Source organism: Homo sapiens, chromosome 9 (assembly GCF_000001405.40).
Source record: "Homo sapiens chromosome 9, GRCh38.p14 Primary Assembly".
NCBI classification, from domain to species: Eukaryota; Metazoa; Chordata; class Mammalia; order Primates; family Hominidae; genus Homo; species Homo sapiens.
In genome coordinates, this window is record NC_000009.12 from 97,431,212 (window position 1) to 97,452,363 (window position 21,152).

Here is a 21,152-nt window from a genome sequence, read left to right on the forward strand (position 1 = left end):
CTAGCATTTCCATTTGAAATTCTTAAGTGAATGCGCTGAGCATGACTTACTAAGTGAAGTAATTACACAGTGGGAAATAACTCAGAACAGATTTTAATTGAGCTTGTTACGGTAGTGTGTAGTTTTATTTTTTTTAAGCTCATTTCAGGGAATGTCTTGTCCAGAATGTTGGCTGCACCAAGAACCTATGATTTTATGTCTTATTTGACAAATTATGTCTTCTGGTAGAAAACCTCTAGTTTCAGAAATATATGAATTATGTAGTACAGAGAAATGTTATAGACAACTCAGCCTTTGTTTACCGAACACTTATCTCAAGGATCTTACAATCAGTTCTAAAACTAAATTCCCATGAAGTGGTTCAATGATAATACAAAGCAGTAGATGACTAAATGCCACAGAGAGCATTTAGGACAAGGGAGCAATCATTTTGAATGAAAAAGGCAAAGGGGAGACTTGACCCCAGACCGCAAACAATGGGTAGAATTTGGATTTATGGGGAAGAGACGGGAGGACCAAGATATAGCTGAGTGTGCTGTATTTGCAAGAACATGAGGTGGCTGCCACTGAAGTGTTCAGTTGGTGAGAAGCAGGAGTTACTGGCCAGTCTGATGGATGAAGAACCTTATCTGCCAAATACTCACCAATCTATTCTTTCCCTGTTGACCAGCCCTCCAGTGGCAACCTCCTCGTGTTCTTACAAACTGTTCTGAGAATAGACACCCACAGAAAACATCTGGTCAGGGGAGTGTCATAATGAAAGTGGGGTTTGGGGATGCTAATTGATTTCGTTATGTATGCCTAACTTCATAGGAAAACCAAAAGCAACCCTCAGACAACCAGGATTTGCTTCAAATTTTTCTGTTGGCAAAAAACCTAATCCAGCACCGTTAAGAGACAAAGGAAACTCTGTTGGAGTTAAGCCTGATGCTGAAATGTCTCCTTATATGCTACACACAACTCTTGGAAATGAAGCATTCAAAGACATTCCAGTGCAAAGGCATGTGACCATGTCCACCAACAACAGGTATTTGGCCTCTGACTCACAGAAGTTTGGTGAATCTAGGGTAAAAAGTGTTACAAATGTATGTTCAGGTTAAGAAAGAAACACTTTCTATTTTATCTAAGTTCACATATAGTAGAGACATGCATCATTACCAGTTAAGTTCACTTCTAGCTGCCTGAACATCATTCTCTAAGTGCATCTCTATTCTATATTTTCTCTGTATTGTCAATCTCTCCTTGTAAAGTTCATTTAAAAGCTCTCACAAATTGTTTTGAGATACTGTTTCAGTATAACTTATAACTTTTTCAGAAAACCTTTTTTTAACGATTTTGTGGGTTTAAGTAAAATCTGATGGAGTTTCAGACACTCCACTGTGCTGCAAATATCATGCCCATGATTATGTAGTAGCATCAGACATCCATGCATCAGAATACCAGACTGGCAATAATAAGACAACCTATAAGTCTTTGTTTGGGTGCTGCCATTCACTAGTCAGGTAAATTAAGTTGTTTCATCTTTTGGGTCTGTGGTTTGTTCATTTGTCCAAAGAAAATGTTAAACGAGATGATCTCAAAGTTCCTTTCTGGTTCAAAACTATGGTTTTATAAGGTAGCTCAGAGGGTGGCAAACTACAATCGATGGACTACATCAAGCCCACAGCCTGTTTTGGTAAATTAAGTTTTATTAGAACATGGCCATTTTGCTTTGTTTGCATATGCCTCTGGGTGCTTTTGCAAAATAGTGGCAGAAGTGAGTAGTTGTACAGAGACTAGATGGCCTACAAAGCCAAAAATCCACTGGTGGACCCTTTACAGAAAAAGGTTGCTGACCCCTGATGTAGATGCATCAAGATCACATTCTTCTGTCCTACTTGTGCCTTTTCAAAACAAATTTTGTTGTATTATATTCCTTTAAATCAGTGTTCAAAAATTCTGTTTTGTGAAAGATAATTTCCCCCCAGGAACTTTCCCCCAGATACTAGAATATTTATGAAGAATTAATTTTTTAAAAAAGTTAGGTAGAGTTGGTACTAATTTTTTATATTACAGAATTTTTAATAAAGTAACCCTAAATATTTTTATAATGGTATACATTTAATATTATTTATAATTATTATAATTTTTATAAGGTCTAGAAAATACATAGTTAAAACACAGATCTTGACCCAAAGTGCTAGTTGAATCCAGTATGTGACAGAGGTATTCTCTGGTTGTGTGCCTACATTTCAGCAATACATTTTGAATGATTTTTTTGGATGTGACCCTAAAAGGACGGGCAACAAAAGCAAAAATAGACAAATGGGATTACATCAAGCTAAAAAGCTTCTGCACCACCGAGGAAACAGTCAACAGAGTGAAAAGACAAGCTATGGAATGGGAGAAAATATTGCAAACCATATACCTGATAAGGGCTTAATATTCAAAATATAGAGAACTCAACTCAATAGCAAGAAAACAACCTAATTTTAAAAACGAGCAAAGGACCTGAACAGACATTTCTCAATAGAAGACATACAAATGATCAACAAGTATATGGAAAAATGCTCAACATCACAAATCATTAGGGAAATGCAAATTAAAACCACAATGAGATACCACTTCCCACCCAGTAGTATGTAGTATGGCTACTATCAAAACGCAGAAAATAACAAGTGCTGGTAAGGATGTGGAGAAAAGGGGAACCCCAATACACTGCTGGGGGAAATGTAGGTTAGTACAGCTATTATGGAAAACGGTATGGAGATTTCTCAAAAACTTAAAAAGAACTGTCAGCAATCCCACTACTAGGTATATATTCAAAGGCTATGAAATCCGTATATCAGTTGAAGAGGTATCTGCACGCCCATGTTCATTGCAGCAGCATTCACAATAGCCAAGGCATGGAATCAACTGAAGTGTCCATTAATGAATGAATGGATAAAGAATATGCGTTGTATCTACTGAATGGAATACTTACTCTTCAGCCTTTATAAAGGAGGAAATCCTGTCATTTGCAACAACATGGATGAACCTGGGAGACATTATGTTAAGTGAAATAAGCTGGGCATAGAAAGAAACACCACATTATCTTATATGTGGAATCTAAAAAAGTCAAACTCATAGAAACAGTAAAATGGCAGTTACCAAAGGCAGGGACGTGGGGTTAGGATGGGGGTTGTGGACGTACACAATTTCAGTTAGGAGAAATAGGTTCAATACATCTGTTGTATTTCATGGTGACTATAGTTAATGATATATTGTGTACTTGCAAATTGCTAAGAGTAGATTTTAAGTGTTCTTACCACAAAAAATAAGCATGTGAAGTAATGCATGTGTTAAGCAGCTTGATTTAGCCATTCCACAGTGTACACGTATCAAAATATCACATCATATTGCATACCATAAATATATACAATTTTTTCTTGTCAACTAAAAGCATGCAACTATAATAGGGCCCAGCAGTTGCGCTCCTGGACATTTATCTCAGAGAAATGAAAACTTATGTTAACACAAAAACCTGTCCACTTATGTTCACTATAACTTTATTTATATTAGCCAAAAAATAGAAACAACCCAGACATCCTTTGGTAAGTGAATGGTTCAACAAACTGTACACAGAATATGTCTCCACAGTAAAAAGGAGTAATGAACTATTGATACACAGAGCAACTCTGATGGATCTCAAGGGAATCATGCTGAGTGAAAGAAGCCAATCTCAAAAAGCGACATACTGTGTGATTTTATTTATATAACATTCTTGAAATTATAAAATTATAAAGATAGATAACAGATTAGTGGTTGCCAGAGGTTAAGGATTTGGGTGATTTGAGGGATGGGTATGGCTATAAAGAGAGAGCAAGAGGAACCCTTGTAGCCATGGGACAGTTCTGTATGTTGATTGTACTGGTGGGCACGTGAATCTGTACGTGTGGTAAATTGCACAGAACTACACACACACATCCATATGCAACTGGAAATCTGAATAAGCTCTGAATTGTACTATTGCCAATATTCTGGTTTTGATATGTACTATGCAAGATTTTACTATTAGGGGAAACAGTGAAGGACACATGGGACCTCTAAGTACACTTTTTGAAATTTCCCATGAATTTATAGGTATTTCAGAATAAAAAGTTTTCAAATTGACAGCAGGCCAGGCACCATGGCTCATGCCTGTAATTCCAACACTTTAGGAGGCTGACGCAGGAGGATCTCTTGAGACCAGGAGTACAAGAACAGCCTGGGCAACATGGTGAGACCTCATCTCTACTAAAAAAAAAAAAAAAAAAATTACCTGGACATGGTGGTGTGCACCTGTAGTCTCAGCTGCTTGAGAGATTGAGGTGGGAAGATCACTTGAGCCTGAGAGTTCCAGGGTACAGTGAGTTATAATCACACCACTGCACTCAAGCCTGGGTGACAGGGTAAGACCCTCTTAAAAAAAAAAAGCTACATATTTTAATTAAAGACTGCTTGAGATGTTGTAAAACATTTTAATCAAGTCTTTTTTTAAGCACATAGTATTTGAAAGATATCTTTTAAGAGAAATCTAAATACTACCCAGTGGCAGATGTTATGGGTAACATTTCTAGTTATAAAATCAAAATATCAAAATGGAACAATAGCAGAAACATCTATATCTACTTATGAAATATTAATGTAGTAAAAAGCAGTTAAACCTGTTATGAAGGACACTTAAACTTTTTGAGGTCACCAAACCTCTTGAAAAGCTGATGAAAGCTGTAAATGATCTTCCCAGAAAAATTCACACATGTACATTTACATATGCATACATAATCTCGTGCCAGTCAGTAGATTCATGAACCCCCAAAGCTCATTCTCAAGAGTTCCGGTTAAGAACTCATGCCTGCCTGTTAACAAATTGAAAAGTTCTAGAAAAATGGCATGGCTAGTTTCCTGTAGAATAAATTAGTAGAGATAAAATGTGTGGGGAAGAGGGTATATGTACTAAGGCTCCTATTAAATTGTTCTCTAAACAGATTATAATAATTTGTTTTCTTCTAGAAGAATATGAGAGTGATTATTTTCTTGTATGCCTGCCAATATTGGGCATCTGTTTTTTGCTTTGCTACTTTGAAAAGTGAAAAAAATCTATTTATGTTTTAATTTTTATTTCCCTGATTTTGATTCTTAAGGGAGTTACATTTTTGTCATATATTTTTTAGCCCATTATAGGTCTTATGTGAATTACATGTCTTTGTCCTTTACATAATTTTTCTATTGGCTCTTTTCCTTCTAACATATAAAAGTGGTTTATAAATTAAATAAGTTGGCCCTTTGTAATATCTTGACAGTATTCCCTCAGTTTGTTTAATTATTGTATTTTTTGTATACAAAAACTTTAAAATGTTGCATGCTTATAGCTATCGATCTTTTACTATGTGACTTCTGCTTTTAGGTATTATGTTTAGAAAAGCATTTCCACTCAATATTATGTAATATGTCTTCTGTTTTCTTTTGTAATTGTTGTGGCTTCATTTTTTACATTTTAGTCTTTAATTCATCCAGAATTTATTTTATTTTATAGTGTGAGAGTTGGAATCCTTTTTTATTGTTAGCCAGATGTCCTGTATCAGTCATTACACAATCCTTTCTTTCTCTGCTGGTTTGTAATTCTATCTTTACCAGTACTAAAGCCTTATAAACATATGGTTCAGTTCCTGGGCTTTCCATTCAGAATAATTGATTACCTCCCTATTCTGCAGTACCAGGCTATTCACATTATTATAACTTCATAATAAGTGCTAATAACCTTTACTCTCTACTTCCTCCTCTATCTCCTAATTTGGTTTATTAGTTCCATTGTGTGCTTTTATTATACCTACTGCCCTTATCATAACACTTAGTAGACTTTGTTCTTAGATTTTGTCAATGCATTAATTATCTATTGCTGTGTTACAGATTACCCCAAAGTTATTAGCTTACAACAAGACACATTTTCTTACCTCATAGTTTCTGTGGGTCAGGAAGGAAGACACGGTCAAGCTGGGTCCTCTGCTTCAGGGTCTCTCATGAGGCTGCTGTCAAGGTGTCAGCCATGGCTGGGATCTTATCTGAAGGCTCAGTTAAAGATAAATCTGCTTTCAGTCCTACTCACATGGTTATTGGCACAGTGTACTTCCTTCTGAGTTGTTCATTAGTCCCTAGGTGGCTATTGGCCAAAGGCCATCTTCAGTTTCTTGCCACATGGTTCTTCCCAACATGGCCATTTGCTTCATCAAAGCAACAAAGGAGAGATTATACTAGCAAAGTTGAAATTAGAATCTTCTGTAATCTAGTTATTTGTGATCCCTTCAGCCTTGAAGTCTTCTATTGATTAGAAGCAGGTTACTCAAGGGGAAGGGATTACACAAGGCTGTGAATACCTGGAGGGAAGAATCTTTGGGGTTATCTCAGCAGCTACTTACCACGGTCCGTTTCTCAACTATACCGTGTAGTCCCAGAGAATAGGGCATGTTTATCTTGCTGATCATTGACAGTTACTGTCTGACATAATGTCTGGCACATAGTATGTCTTAAATATTTATGAGCTATAAATATGTCTCTAATAAACAACATATGTTTAGATTTGGAAGGTTTTTTTCTGGACCAGTCTAACTCTTTGTCTTTTAAGAGACAATATATTTTATTCTTAGTGTTATAAAACTGCTTAGACCTCTGTCATCTTATTTTATTATGTCTGTTTTTCATGCATCCTAGCAGTTTTCTTTGAAGAGCTTTCTTTTGCTATATACACTTTTTTCTTTCCTCTCCAGTAGACCTCTTGATGACTGAACCATAACAGTCCCTTCCATAGTTTCTGTGTACTCACTCTTTGCTCATATCCCTCTACCTTCTACTGGAGCCTTCGATGCTTGTTTAAAGCAGGGGAAGCTTCCAGTTTACATGTTTTGGGCTGGTGTGCGGGAAGGAGTACTATCTCCCTACCAGTTCTGCAAAATAGGAGTTGGATATATTTTTGGCATCTTCTGCTATTACACAGATATATTAATATAGAAATAGGATGATCTTATAATTGCATATACCAAATAAGTTTTTATTGGTAGCCTAGAACCTAATCATTTCTTTTAGAATTAAAATTTTATAAGAAAATGTGCTTCATTTCAAGGAATTGATCTAATTTTTAGACTGTTCCATACTATTCAAAAACTGGCAGCTATGTGTACCATGTCACTATCACTCACTATAGTCCCGTACCCACTGCTGGGCAGGTTGTAGTCATTTATTCATTCGGTCATGATTCATTCAGTCATTCTTACAATATTCATTTGCCTTGCATGTATCAAGCTCTGCCCCAGGCACTTGGGAACACAAACAATTAAGACACTTAGAGTCTAGTGTGGGAAACAGACATGAATATAAATGATGTGTGTGGGGTTTATTTATGTGTCTTCATATTTGGAAAAATCTTCCTACATATATCCAGTATAATTTATATAAAATTTATTTTTAGTGAGGGTATGAGGTAGGGATCTATTTCTTTTTTTCAAATAGTTATTTGACCAGTCCCTCACCTGTCTGTTTTGAAATGCCACTTTCATTATGTACCAAGATATAATGCAAATTGCATGTTTCTAAGTTCTCTACCATTTTACCTGTCTGTACAACTCATTTAAGTGTTGTAACTTCATAATGCATTTCAACATCTGGTGATGCAAGTCCTTCATTTTTTGGTTATATTCCAAAATGTTCTTTGTTTCCAACTGTTTATTTTTGCATGGTCTTCTTTATTCTGTTTTACCAGTTTCTTATAAGTGATTAATTGGAATTCTGACATCCAAGTTTTGAAAGAGGCTTTCAAAGACCTAGTTTAAATTTAGCTTTTAACATACTTTTCTCTGAGTGAATATGAAACATGAAAGATGATGCCAGGTTTTATTTTTATTTTTTCTGATTTTAAATTATTTTAATGACTTGTTTTGCTGTTAAATGCCACTGAGACTTTAAATGAAAAGTGTAGTGTTTAAAACTTGGTATAGACTTTGTTATTTACATTTATTTTACTTTTTTTTTTTTTAATATCTTAGGTTTAGCCCAAAGGCGTCCCTTCAACCACCTTTGCAGATGCATCTCTCAAGAACCTCTACTAAGGAAATGAGTGGTATGTTTTCCAAACATTTTTGAGATACATATTGGCTTCCGGAGTCAAGAAACATATCTGGTGGTGGCTTTTGACATTTGCTCTCACCTTCTCCTGTTTGGAATATATCCTTCCTCCCCTTTTTCCTAATTGCTTTGCATCATGAATCAAAGTGATCTTAAGAGAAAATGGTGCCTCCCAAAGATATCATTATCTAAACACTGACTTGAGGCCTTCCTCACCCCAGCCCTACTCTGTGTCACCTCTATGTGTGGCCTGCAGAGATGCTTGTGTCCCTTACTCTCTCACCTCTTAGGGGGTGCACCCCTGAGACTTCAGAGGCTGAGGCCTCACATAAAGGAAACATCTGCTGTGGATTAAAAGTGCATAAATATGGGACTTAAATTTATAAAAGAGTTTCAGATACTCCACCACTTAAAAGCTAGCACCCTAAACTGTGTACAGTTACCACTAATCATCTAAATATGAATATAAATAATTCTTTGGGTAATAGAATCCAAGTGGGCTGTTAGGAAAACAATAGGAGACATAGTATAAGTCAAAGAATCTGAAGGTTAGAAATGCAACCACTTGTTATCTTTTCTTCTCCAACCAATGTGTAAATCCCCTGCTCATAGACCCACCCAGGGAGACAGTGTTTTCGTATCAGTGCTTATAGTGTGTGAAATGTAAATGTGATTTTACATTATTTGCTGCTTTAAGTGTGATTCTTACTTAGTTGAAATGCTTTTTTTTTTATAAGAACACATCTCCAGTATTTCTTAATGGAAATTAATTGAACAATATGATTTTTGTTTACATGAATTACTTTTACATAGGCATTTTCTGAAACATGACTACATGGCAAAGTTGAATATCCTTTTAGAAGCTTAAATTAGTATAAACTACTTCTACAGAAACAAGAGGACTTATTTCAGGAGGATTGCAGTTCACCTGGCAGAGCTGATAGGCACACATGTGTACACAACCTCTCCTACATGATGGACACCTCCATTACTACTTTAATTTGTTTAACAAAAGGTGCAGGGACTTAGATGGCCCCAGTGGCCCCACAGAGCAAGTGCATTTGCAGACACAGCTGTCGGTCAGCTGCTGACACATTCTCATTATGGGAAGGTCTGGCCAGTTATGAGAAACTTAATCTTTTCCTCCTTCCCAGTCCTTTTATATCATTATTTGGGAAGAACTTAAATAAATTAGCTATACCCTTAATAGGAAATATATGTGGATATCCTGGAGCCTTCTCTTCTCTGTGCCAATCTAAGACTTAGCAAGGCCAGATCCTGCCCTTTGATGGAAGAGCAGAGTCAGCGTCCAAGTGTCCTCAAGGAATAGCTCACTCTGGGCTTCCTGGCATTCTCAGAGGCAGCATCCCCAAATCAGACTGTCTCTACCTGCAAATTAAAAATTACTGAATCCCAGCAGAGATACTATCTGCTTAAAATATGCATATATTTTGCATATAGATGGTAATATTTAATATACTCAGATCTGTATCTCAGTGAAATTTCGTAGAGATTTGGAATAAATTTCATAGTTCTTAAAATTCCAGGACTGTCAGCTATAGTAAACACTCAGATTTCTTTATTTTCTGGGGATATTAACTCTCACATTCTAAGTTTTAAGTAAAAACGAAATGCAAAATAGCTATAAAGCCAAAACTTTATAAATACACACTTATGAAAGATAAATGATTGATATTGGGGAAATAAAAGTTATCTGTGGGTTCCAAACCTTTTATGTTTATAAACTGAGGCTAGGATGATGATGATTATAGATGGATCAATTTTTTAACTTTTGTGTGTTGCTAAATTATTTGTTTTCCATTAATAAAGGTGAAAATTGATCATAATATTCAAACTCAGGCAATTTTTTATCTTCTACAAAACTAGTATAAGATCAAAAAGTTATTTGATCTGTTAAGGAATTATTCCTATGTTCTGTGGAATATAGCTTTAAATTCAGTATTGTCTGTAAACTAATATATAAAATGCAATCTTCCTCAGCAGGTAGAAAACGGTTGGTTAAATAATTTAATTATTCTTTATGTAGCAAGATCATCTTGATGTTTAAACTATGAAGCATCCTTGCAAAATAAAGGGACTAGGTTCCCTCTTTGGGTGTTTCTTGACCCACAAGAAACACTGCTGGTTATTTCAGGGTTAAAACTTAGAATGAAGTTGTCACGGTGCTGCTCTGCCTAATCCTGCTCCCTTCTAAGTCCTTTGGCTACCACAAGCCCACACTATAGCAAAACCTGAAGATGCAAATATTAGGTAATGGGGATAATCTAAAATGTTAAGCATTTTGGTTAATTCTATTATTTTTTTAATTTAAAGATAATTTAAATCAGACTGTTGAAAAACCCAATGTCAAGCCTCCTGCCTCTTACACTTATAAAATGGATGAGGTTCAAAATCGCATAAAGGAAATACTAAACAAGCATAACAATGGCATTTGGATATCTAAGCTTCCACATTTTTACAAAGAGTTATATAAAGAAGACCTTAATCAAGGAATTTTACAACAGTTTGAACACTGGCCTCATATTTGCACGGTATGTTTTTCCTTATTCCTCCCTTCTGATACCTCCTCCCTGCCCAACTTTGAGATCTTGAGTTATTAGTCATATCACCTTTTATCCCCAGAAGACAAAGCACTTTACATATGTTACCTCATTAATCTTTATCTCTTAAGATTAACATATGTCAGTTCTTATTTATAGAAGTATGTCAAAGTTGAAGGTTCTCCTGTGTTGTAATTGCTATTTTTATATATTTTGTTTTATGTCATTTTTAAAATGCATTTAATATGTGATAATATGTAAACCATTTTATAATGATTGAACTGTTACCAGTAAACACTGATAGCTTTGCCATTTTAATAAATCTGAACTTATTGGGAAGAATTGTTTTATTAGCCTCAAATTTTATTTGCTCACTCTTGAGCATTTTTAAAGACTTGTAGCTGAGCAAATTTTAGTTATTTTGACTAATTATATAGAGTTCTTAATTTTTATTTTGAAATTAATAATAGTGTTTATATTATAATTTTTACAAGCTATCTTTAGAGAGAAAATTGGAAATTAGAAAAAAAATTTAAAAATGATTTATCAATTTCCATTTCTATTCCTACTTCAGAGTCTGTGATTATAAGATTATGGATCAGCATAGTTTATTAAAGATCTTAGTTCAGCCAGAAGTAGAGACAACTGGATTCTTACACCAAAGTAACTAACTTTTAGATGTTTCTTAGTGGTTTTGCTTACATAAGATATATTTAAAACATAACTTTTAAATGGTCACATTAACAGCTACTCGATGCTTCTAGGCTTGTAGAATTAAATATGCATGAGGATTATGTATGCTTTGGTAGAGGGCTTTTATTTCTTTAACATATATTTTGGCCCCCAAGCCTGTTGGGCAGTGTAGGGCATTCCCTCTTTATAAGCACCTGGCCTAAAGAAAGCATGTATTTTTTTTTTTTCTTTTTTTGAGACGGAGTTTCACTTTTTGTCACCCAGGCTGAGTACAGTGGAACGATCTTGGCTCACTGCAACCTTCGCCTCCAGGGTTCAGGTGGTTCTCCTGCCTCAGCCTTCCGAGTAAATGGGGCTATGGGCGTTAGCCACTACGCCCAGCTAATATTTGTGTATTTAGTAGAGACAGGGTTTCACCATGTTGGCCAGGCTGGAGTCTCGAATTCCTGACCTCAGGTGATCCGCCCACCTCGGCCTCCCAAAGTGCTGGGATTACAGGCATGAGCCACCATGCCTGGCCGAAAACATGTGTTTTTGTAACCACTTTTTCCTCCACTTGAGTCTGTGGCCTCTTAGAGACTGGTGTCATTCAATCATTCATCCATCCCATTTGCTCATATACTATTTACTGTGCACTTGCATGTGCTAATTTTTGCCTTAGGTGTTTTAAGAACAAAGACGATGAAGACACTTGGAGTGTAGTGAGGGAAATAGGGAAAAAAATGATTAGGACAATGTGACAAATGTTAGAATATACAGTCTAAGGTGGGAAAATAAGGAATGTTAAACTCTGGAAATATGGCTCTGTTTCCCTACTAATAAACTCAAGAACAATTAATATTCGTAAGAATGTGACCTCTGATTTATGTGGAATATAGGGTTAGTTCTCCTAATGGAAATTCCCAGGGTTACTTTTTCAGTTCAGTTCAGTTTTTTCCAGTTTTTTTCAGTTCAGTTTTTTCCATTTATACTCCATTCTGGGAAGAATTTTCCTCACTCGATGCAGGTTTAGTGACATTGAGGTATTCCCTTAGAAGTCTCATTAGGCTGTTCAGTTTGAAGGTTCAGGGCCTGTGGCCCCTTCTTGAAATGCATATGGCTCCTTTATGGTTTAAATCCATAGAACTTTATGAGTTCTTTTATTTCAGCTTTTATTTTAAATATAGGGGATACCTGTGCAGGTTTGTTACATGGGTATTTGCACACCGTAGAAAGTTTTCTGTAAAACTTAGAGCATTTTTTTAATCATCAGGATACATATATAACTCATTTTTAAGCTCTGATAAAGAAGTCTTTAGAGTAAAAACTTTAAAAATATACTTCACTGGTTCTTAATGTAATGTGTTTCTAGTTTTTTTATATTCCATGATAATACTAATATTTGTGTAGCTTTATTATGGCCTTTCTGGGAAATTTTAATCTTTGCTACTCTACATGCCTTCACAATTCTAGAATTTCTCTTGCTAGGATTGTAGATGAGAGAATATATATCTCTTTGATTTAAAAACTTTTCCTAAAATGAATAGTTTTCTACTAAACCTCTGGTGCTAAAACAACTGACTGTTTTTTTGGTTGCTTTTTATAGCACTTGAATTCATCTTTTATTGCGTTATTATATTCCGTCCAAGCAATGAGAGTCAGAAGCAGAAACACAATATAACTTTCCTATCTATATATTGTGTCTGTTACCTTTGTTCAGATATAATCAGTACCAAGTATTAGGTTATAGTAATTTGCTTAGTCAAGTGGGATGCCAGAAAACACCAATCATATTGATGTCTACTGATACCTTTCAAAACTGTTTAACCTCTGAATATTTTTCAGCAGACTGTTGTTAAACAGTTTTAGACAGTTAAACCATGGTTATTTTTAAACAGCTTTAAACACTTACACAATGGTTATTTTCCCCCTTCTTATAACTTCTTCTTTTCACCTTGCTGCAAAGCAGAAACACTGATACCATGCCTAGGACAGATGTTACTACAAGCAAAATTAGATAGTCTCAAGGCAGTGCAAAAAGTTTAGGATAAGACAGAACTTGGTAATGGGTATCTCTCTTTATGGCTTGTCTCTCTATATGGCTTGTCATGTAACTGAAGGAGAAATCTAAGTGCAGTGTATTTCTTTTTTTAAGGGTTTTTTCCTCCAACCAGATAAAATATTCTATATTAAAAGATTGAAAAATAAAGTTATAAGAGAAATAAAAATCACCCATCATTCTACCACCCAGAGATTACTACTTACAGGAATTCCATTTGAATATCAGAATGCACAGCATCAGCTTTAGGGACCAAATAGCAGCTTTGAAATTTTATCTTCAGGGAGGCTCTAATTAGTATGCTGTAAGCCGCTTCACATGGATATTGGAAAACATTTTGATGCAGGCAGAAGGATGCTTTGAATCTGTTGTCCTTAACCTTTTGGGTCTGTCCAGTAGCAAAATGTGTACTGAGAGTTTTCAAAGCTAGGGAGAACACAGAGTTATTCACAACAATGAGCCAGCTCCAAGGTATTCCTAGACAACTTGTGAGGGAAGTGGAAATTGTGCAGAAACTGTCTTGAAAAGGCAAAGATTCCAAGACAGTAAGCCTGCAGATCAAGGACACTGCACTCTAAGAGTTCCCATTGGGTCCTAGGAGTACAGCAACACCTCTTGGCTGTTCTAGAGCAGTAGTCTTGTTAATAGTGCTCTCGTTTAACTGTTGTATTTGACTTGACTGGTATTTATAAAATGCTTCCGTGTGCTAGCCACTGACCTGGGTGTTAGGGATAAAACAGTAAACAAGACAGACATGGTCCTTGCCCTTATGGAACTTTCTGTCCAATGGGAAAATAAACATTGAACAAATAATGATAAGCCTGCAATGGTTATGAAGGAGAAGTACAGGATGCTGAGGGAATGTCTAAACAGGAGACTCTACATAGTCTGATGAGTCAAGTAAAGCTTCCAGGGGAGGTGGCTGTTAAACTAAAACCTGACAGATGGGTTAGTGTGAGTTAGGTAAAGAGGGAGGAGAAAAGCACCTCAGACAAAAGAAACAGATTGTGCCAAAGCCCTGAGATAGAAAAGCATAGTATTTTCAGGAAGCTGAAAGAAATTCAGTAAGAAGAGAGTTGCTCAGGAAGAAGCTGAAGAGGCAAGCAGAGGCCAGGTCACTTCATTAAGGAGTCATCATTTGGTGGAAACACAGCGGGTCTCAGCCTTGAGGTCACCCAGGATCCATGGCCTCTGGCTGACTTTGATTTCTAGAAAAATTACAAATCTTGGTCAGGCACATTGGCTTATGCCTGTAATCTCAGCACTTTAGGAGGTCAAGGCAGGAGAATTGCTTGAGGTGAGGAATTTGAGACCAGCCTGGGCAACATAACAAGGCTCTGTCTCTACAAAAAATAAATTTAAAAAAATTAGCTGGGCATGGTGATGCATGCTTGTAGTTCCATCTGCTCAGGAGGCTGAGGTGGGAGGATTGCTTGATCCCAGAAATTCAAGGTTGCAGAGCTATGATGGCACCACTGCACTCCAGCCTGGGTGACAGCATGAGACCTGTCTTAAATTCCAAATCCTGCAACAATGACTGCTGAACACCAGAGATTTTATTGAAAATTTCTACTCTCTGAAACGGGTAAAGAAACCTCTCCATTCTTACATTAGCCAGAATATCTGTCTCCCATGTCTTGCCTGAAGCTGTTAGAGAGCTGAGGGGCTCATTGGTGGGCAGAACTAGATGCACTCAGCTAAGGAGAATTTCTGTCAGTAGCCCCAAGACCTACTGGTAGGCAACCAGCAGGTAGCTGGGAAACATTCTATGTTGGGCTGGAGGCACACCAAGCCTTAATTATAAAACATAACATTTTGTGAATGACAAAATTATAGAACATAAAATGTTGTGAATGAGGAAAAACTGCCTAATTACACTAATTATTCATAGCTTCTACAAGGATGTTTTACTGTTAATCTGGTTTTATTATATATCATTTTCCTATTCATTAGAAATCACTGAGCTTTAAGTTGTTTCATATCTAATCCTGCAGACTCTTAAAAATTCTTAAAATTCTGAGTTGCATCAGTATAGCAGTTTCTCTAATATCAAAGGAGGCAAGAGTTTCTGTCACTTACATAGAGATGTTTTTATATTTGGGGATGTTCAGGAATCTAACTTAATTTTAATTACGGTAATTAATTGTATGAGATAATAAAGCACCTTTTTGCCCATGTAAAATGAATTGCCTTTTTAAAAAGCCTGGAACTTCTGGGGTAAAACCAAAACAACTTGGATTTCTAAGGAAATGGAACATAAACAGCAATCGATATCCTCAGGCTTAGTGGTATTGAATATACTCTATATATTGAATATATTCTAAATAATGCCAGCAGAAGCAGAAGTGAAGAGGTAAACTGAAGACTTGGAAGTATAATCATAATATTTTTTAAATGGAATCTAACTTATTTTCCATTTTTTCACCAGTGAAAAGAAATATATAATGAACACATGATTGGAACAATTTTTAAATTTAAATTCGGTGAACGTCTGAGTAGAAAAAAGATAAAATAGCACTGTTGTGAAATCAGAATAGCGAAGTTGAGGAATAATGAGAAGTTGCTGTTCTGGAACTTGAAACAGAAACTACCCATAAGGCCCCATAGTACACTAGAAGGAGTTTGGGCTTTGAGGTAGATTTTTACCTTATCATTTCTTAGCTGTATACCTTTCAGCATACAGACCATCCTCTCAGTGCCACAATCTACTCTAAAATGTCACTAATTCTACCCATGTCATAGGGTGGTTGTGAGAATTAGATAAAATATATAAAGCAGCTATTAATGTGGTATCAGAAACATAATAGGTGTTTAGTAAAAGACAACTGCTGTTAATTTTTGAGAGGCACCCCAGCCTAAAGCAGGCCAAAACCCACTGCTCAACCAGGGACATGCCCAGCAAGCTCTACAAGGAAACTGAATACAAACAGAGGAAAAGCTAAAGAGGGAAAAACAAAACTTTAACTTGAAAAGAAATAAAGAGCAGTGGAGGAAATGAAGTCAAAATAAACTCCAAGCCAAAGAGAGTTCCTGACGTTTTAACAATCCATGAATGGATCCCAGTCCCCCTACCCTCCCTGCACCTGCCCCAACTCCTGCCCAAGGTAATGAGAGCAAGGAATAATGAGAGCAAGGAATGTGTCCAATGCACATTGAAAGCCACAGCTACTGGCCAAAAGCAATTCCAAAAAGCTCTGCACATGTTCAACTAGGAGAAGACTCCATTATCTTCCTTAAGGAACATGAGCAAGAGGCCTAACCTCAGGCCATGCTAAAGGGAAATGACTTGAAGTTTATCCTAATATAAATAATTGCAATGTGTGTCTAAAGAGCATTGGTGAAAGGTCTTTCCTAGTTAAAGGGGTGGGAGTAAGCGGAAGTGTTGACCTTGAAGTACATGGAGTCTATTAAATGACTCATCTAAGATGGCAGAGAAGAGTTTCTCTAAGTAGATGGTTTGTCAACAGTCAAGGATTACCCTCTACAAGGATCTTTTTACTTTTACCTTTGATTAAGTCTCTGTGGAATATGCTACAAAACCTTAACTTTCTCAAAGAGAATTGACTGAAAAACTGTAACCATTTCTGAATATCTTGGGCTTATCATCACTAGCCTCAGTACCTTCTGGCAGAGATGGCTGTGGTTGTAGGTGATATGGAACGGTGGATTGGATGGGTTTAGCTCCTGCATACAGGGTACACCACACCGGCTGCCCTTGCATGTTTCACATCTGTCCTGATCAGTGCATCTGCATTGTGACATAGTGATGCCATTGGGGACCATTTCCCTATCTCTTTCTCAGTTGTCTGACTTTTCCAGCACTCGTCAGCTTTAGCATAAAAAGGCCACCTCTTAAGGAAGTCATCAGCTGGTCAACCTTTCTGTGAACTGGCTAATCGTAGGGTGCAAGCTTCTGGTCAGTGACTTTGATGTTTTAGTTGTTGCTAGGCACTCAGGGATCTTTTATTCACTACTGAAGTCAAGTTTTAAAATGGGATTATTTTTTGCTTTTTCTTTGTTGTTTTTGTTTGTTTTGAGCTCATAACCATTATTAATGCTTGCAGTGCTAGAAAGCAGGTCTCTAGGTAAATGTGATTTTGCTGTACTGTCTCAGGTTTGTATTGGGTGGTGACCATATAAAATGAAATTTAGAACTTAATTTAAAACTTCAACAAAAATGACTACTACCCTGTGGAAACAAAACTGTGCCCATATAAATGCTTTGGAAAGCTTGATTTAACTGGACAATACCAATTCTGTTATAGAACCCTAAAGAATATTCTAATTTCAGAAGAAAGAGTAAGCTTACCTCAGAGGCCCATGCTAAAGAATTAGCAGGTAAGCCTTCATAGACTCAAAGGAGTTTGGCTTCAAGAACTTTTAAGTTTACAGCACAGGTAAAACTAGAAAGAAAGAAGTAAAGACCCTTAGAGTTAAGGAGAAGCAAGTTTCTAGGCGTGTAGGATGAAGACTTCTATTTGTCTGAACAAACAGACTCCTGAAGAAATTCATATTTTAAGTTTTTGGGCCTGTTTTGGAAAAAATACTCAAACTATGTTTTTCCTCTGCTGTCACACCACAACAATCAACACAGAAGGCTTCTGTGACCAAATGTGGGCGTTTTCCCCAGAAACCAAGCAGCGGACACCAGCTGGGTGCCCTCTAATTTAATACTAACACTGTCTACCTGGAGATAGCATCAGATCCCACAGGGTGAAGGCTCAATCCCCAAAATTGCTGGTCCTCTACATATACACTAGTTGCGCAGATCCAGGCCTCCAGAACTTCTGACTGACCAGCTTCAAATTGGGGTTCCCAAAACCTCCTCTTTGGGTTTGATTAATTTGCTGGAGTGGCTCGCAGAACTCAGGCAAACAGTTATATTTACTGATTTATTACAAAGGATATTACAGAGGATACAGATGAAGAAATGCATAAATGGGGGAAGCAGCATGGAGTCTCTGTGCCCTCTCTGGGCCTGCCACCCTCCAGGCAGCCCTCCAAACCTGTCATCTTGGGGTTTTATGGAGGCTTCATTACGCAGGCATGTTGATTAAACCATTGACCATTGGTGATCAGCTTGACCTTCAGTGCCTCTTCCCTCCCGGCATTTGAATGGTGGGGCCAAAAGTTTCAACCCTCTAATCCTGCCTTGGACTTTCTGGTAAGCAGCCCTACCCTGAAGCTCTCAGTCAGTATTAGCATAGAAAAAGATAAGCTCTTTGGAGATTCCAGGGATTTTAGGAATTGTATTTAGGAAACTGGGAAGGAAGACCAAATATATATTTCACGGTATCACAGCCTCACATCTGCCAAGCCTAGTATTTCTGCTCCAAACTTACAGAAATCCAGAGGGGTGTGAGGGAAGTGTCTCATTCAAATTGTGATTCCAACTGTGGCAGAAATCAAACTGATTATCATGAACTTACGGGAATAGAAAGTTTAAGGCGTATTAGGTACAGCATCTTCTGATGATCAGCAAAGGAAAGGGCTTGACTCCATGGTCTAGGGAGTTCATCTTTAATGTTACCTGTCTCTCCTGCTGGAGGTGGGGGTGGGAGTGTACACATGGTACGTGAAGTTACAAGTCATGCTAGTTCCCAGTCGTTGGACTGATGGATTTTTTGGGTGGACATTCAGAACCAAAGAGAAAATTACAGAGCCACAAAACAAAGAAAACATGAAGGACAAGGATAGGAGTATTGTCCTGAGTCTTCTCCCACAGTAGAGGAGGCCTTCTGACTCCCTCCTTAGGTATATGCCTGAATCAAGTGGGCTAAAGGAACTAGATGCCGTAAAAGTTCCCTTTTGAGAGATCTACCTGAAGTGGTTAGCAGTTGATTATCACACTAAGGAAATAATAAAAGCCATGTTTCAAGTAGATGTTGGCTTGCCTTGGTCATTTGTGAAGACCATAAGATGGCTGTTCTGTCTTGGGAAATGAGGCAGGAGATGAACATGTAAATCTTTTCAGATGCACCAGAGCCCAGTAAAGAATGGACACCACACTGTCCATTATAGCAATTCTTTATCTTTAGCAAGGTTCTTGTGGGATACATATAGTAGTAGGTCTCTTTCCTAAACCTATTTGCCAGAAAATTAAAAAGAGGTGGCACTTTTTGTAGATGACAGATGGTGATCACAGTAGAATGCCCAGGAAAAGCAAATTTCTATTCATATGAAAATTTAGAGAGTTTGAGCTGGGTGATATTGTAAAATATATATTTGGCCTTCTCCATTCTCTGGCATACAATTCCTAAAATCCAAAGTGACTCTCCAAAGTTAGGTCTCTTTTTTTTTTTTTTTAAACTAATGAGTGATGACTGGCAACCCCTAGTAGCTTTAGGATGGGGCTGGTCACCAGAAAGACCAACGCATGATTAGAGGGTTGGGACTTTCAGCCCCAACCAACCTCTGGGGAAGGTAGAGGGCCTAAAGATTAGGTTGATCGCCAGTGGCCAATGACTTAACCAATCATGCCTGCGGAATGATGCCTCCCTAAAAACCCAAAGCAGGAAGAGCTTCCAGATAGCCAAACATATGGAGCTTCCTGTAGGGTAGCAGAGAGGGCATGGAAGCTCCACACTCCTTCCGGCATACGTCACACTAAGCATCTCTTCATTGGTATTTTTTTGTAATATCCTTTAATTTATACATATATCTGCCATACACACACACACGTGTATTTTTTTAGAGACAGGTTTTGCTCTGTCCCTTAGGCTGGAGTGCAGTGCCACCATCATAACTCACTGCAGCCTGGACATCCTGGGCTCAAGCAGTCTTCCCACCCCAGCCTTCCAAAGTGCTGGGATTATAGATGCACACTATCACATCCAGCTAATTTTTAAAATTTTTTTGTTGAGATTCTCACTATGTTGCCCCGGCTGGTCTTCAACTATTAGTCTGAAGTGAGTTATCCTCCTGCCCCAGGCTCCCAAAGTGCTGGGATTATAGGCGTGCGCTGCTGCACCCAGCCATATCCTTCATAGTAAACCAGTAAACATGTTTCCCTGATTTCTGTGAGCCACTGTAGCAAATTAAAACTAAAGAGAGGGTCTTGGGAACCCCAGCTTGATCCAGGTGGTCAGAAGTTCCAGAGCCGCAGGCTTGTAACTGGTGTCTGAAGAGGAGACAGTCTTGTGGGACTGAGCCCTCAACCTGTGGGATCTGATGCTGTCTCCAGGTAGATAGTGTCAGAATTGAGTTGGTGGAATTCAGCTGATATCCAATGCAGAATTAATTGATTGACTGAAGTGGGGAGACCCCCCCACCCATTTGGTCACACAAGTCTTCTGTGTTGATGATTGTTGTTGAATGAGAAAATAGGAAAAACTTGTTTGTGTTTTCCATACTCATAACTGAAAAAGAATTATATTTGCTTTAAATTATATTTTTTAACTTTAAAAGGAGTTTCATGAATTGTTGCCTTTGAATTGAAAAACCCCTCAGCTGGCCTGGCATGGCAGCTCATGCTTGTAATCCCAACTCCTTAGAAGGCTGAGGCAGGAGGATCACTTGAGCCCAGGAGGTGGAGGCTGCAGTGAGTCGAGATTGCGCCACTGCACTCTAGCCTGGGCAACGGAACAAGTCCCAGCCTTAACAAAAAGAGAGAGAGAAAGAAAAGAAACCCCAAAGATTGGAATGAAGTATGTGGACCAGGTATTTTTTCCATATCACTAAATTTATCTGTGAATATTTGCCTAAAGTGTTGAAGGATATCTGAATCAATTCCAGGTAGAGTCAGGTTC

General features: G+C 37.5%; 1 protein-coding gene across 5 annotated transcripts in view; it reads left to right on the forward strand.

Annotated features, from left to right (window-relative positions):
• The window catches only part of TDRD7 (tudor domain containing 7), an 84,030-nt gene that overhangs the window by 19,116 nt on the left and 43,762 nt on the right, over positions 1–21,152 (forward strand). For 4 of the 5 annotated variants that reach the window (NM_014290.3, NM_001302884.2, XM_047423113.1 and 1 more), the window contains 3 exons: positions 814–1,027; positions 8,034–8,107; positions 10,447–10,664. In NM_014290.3, the coding sequence (NP_055105.2) occupies positions 814–1,027; positions 8,034–8,107; positions 10,447–10,664 (506 nt within the window). Of the gene's footprint in view, positions 1–813; positions 1,028–8,033; positions 8,108–10,446; positions 10,665–21,152 lie in introns of those variants that run through there. The other variant, XM_047423114.1, reaches the window with a different exon arrangement.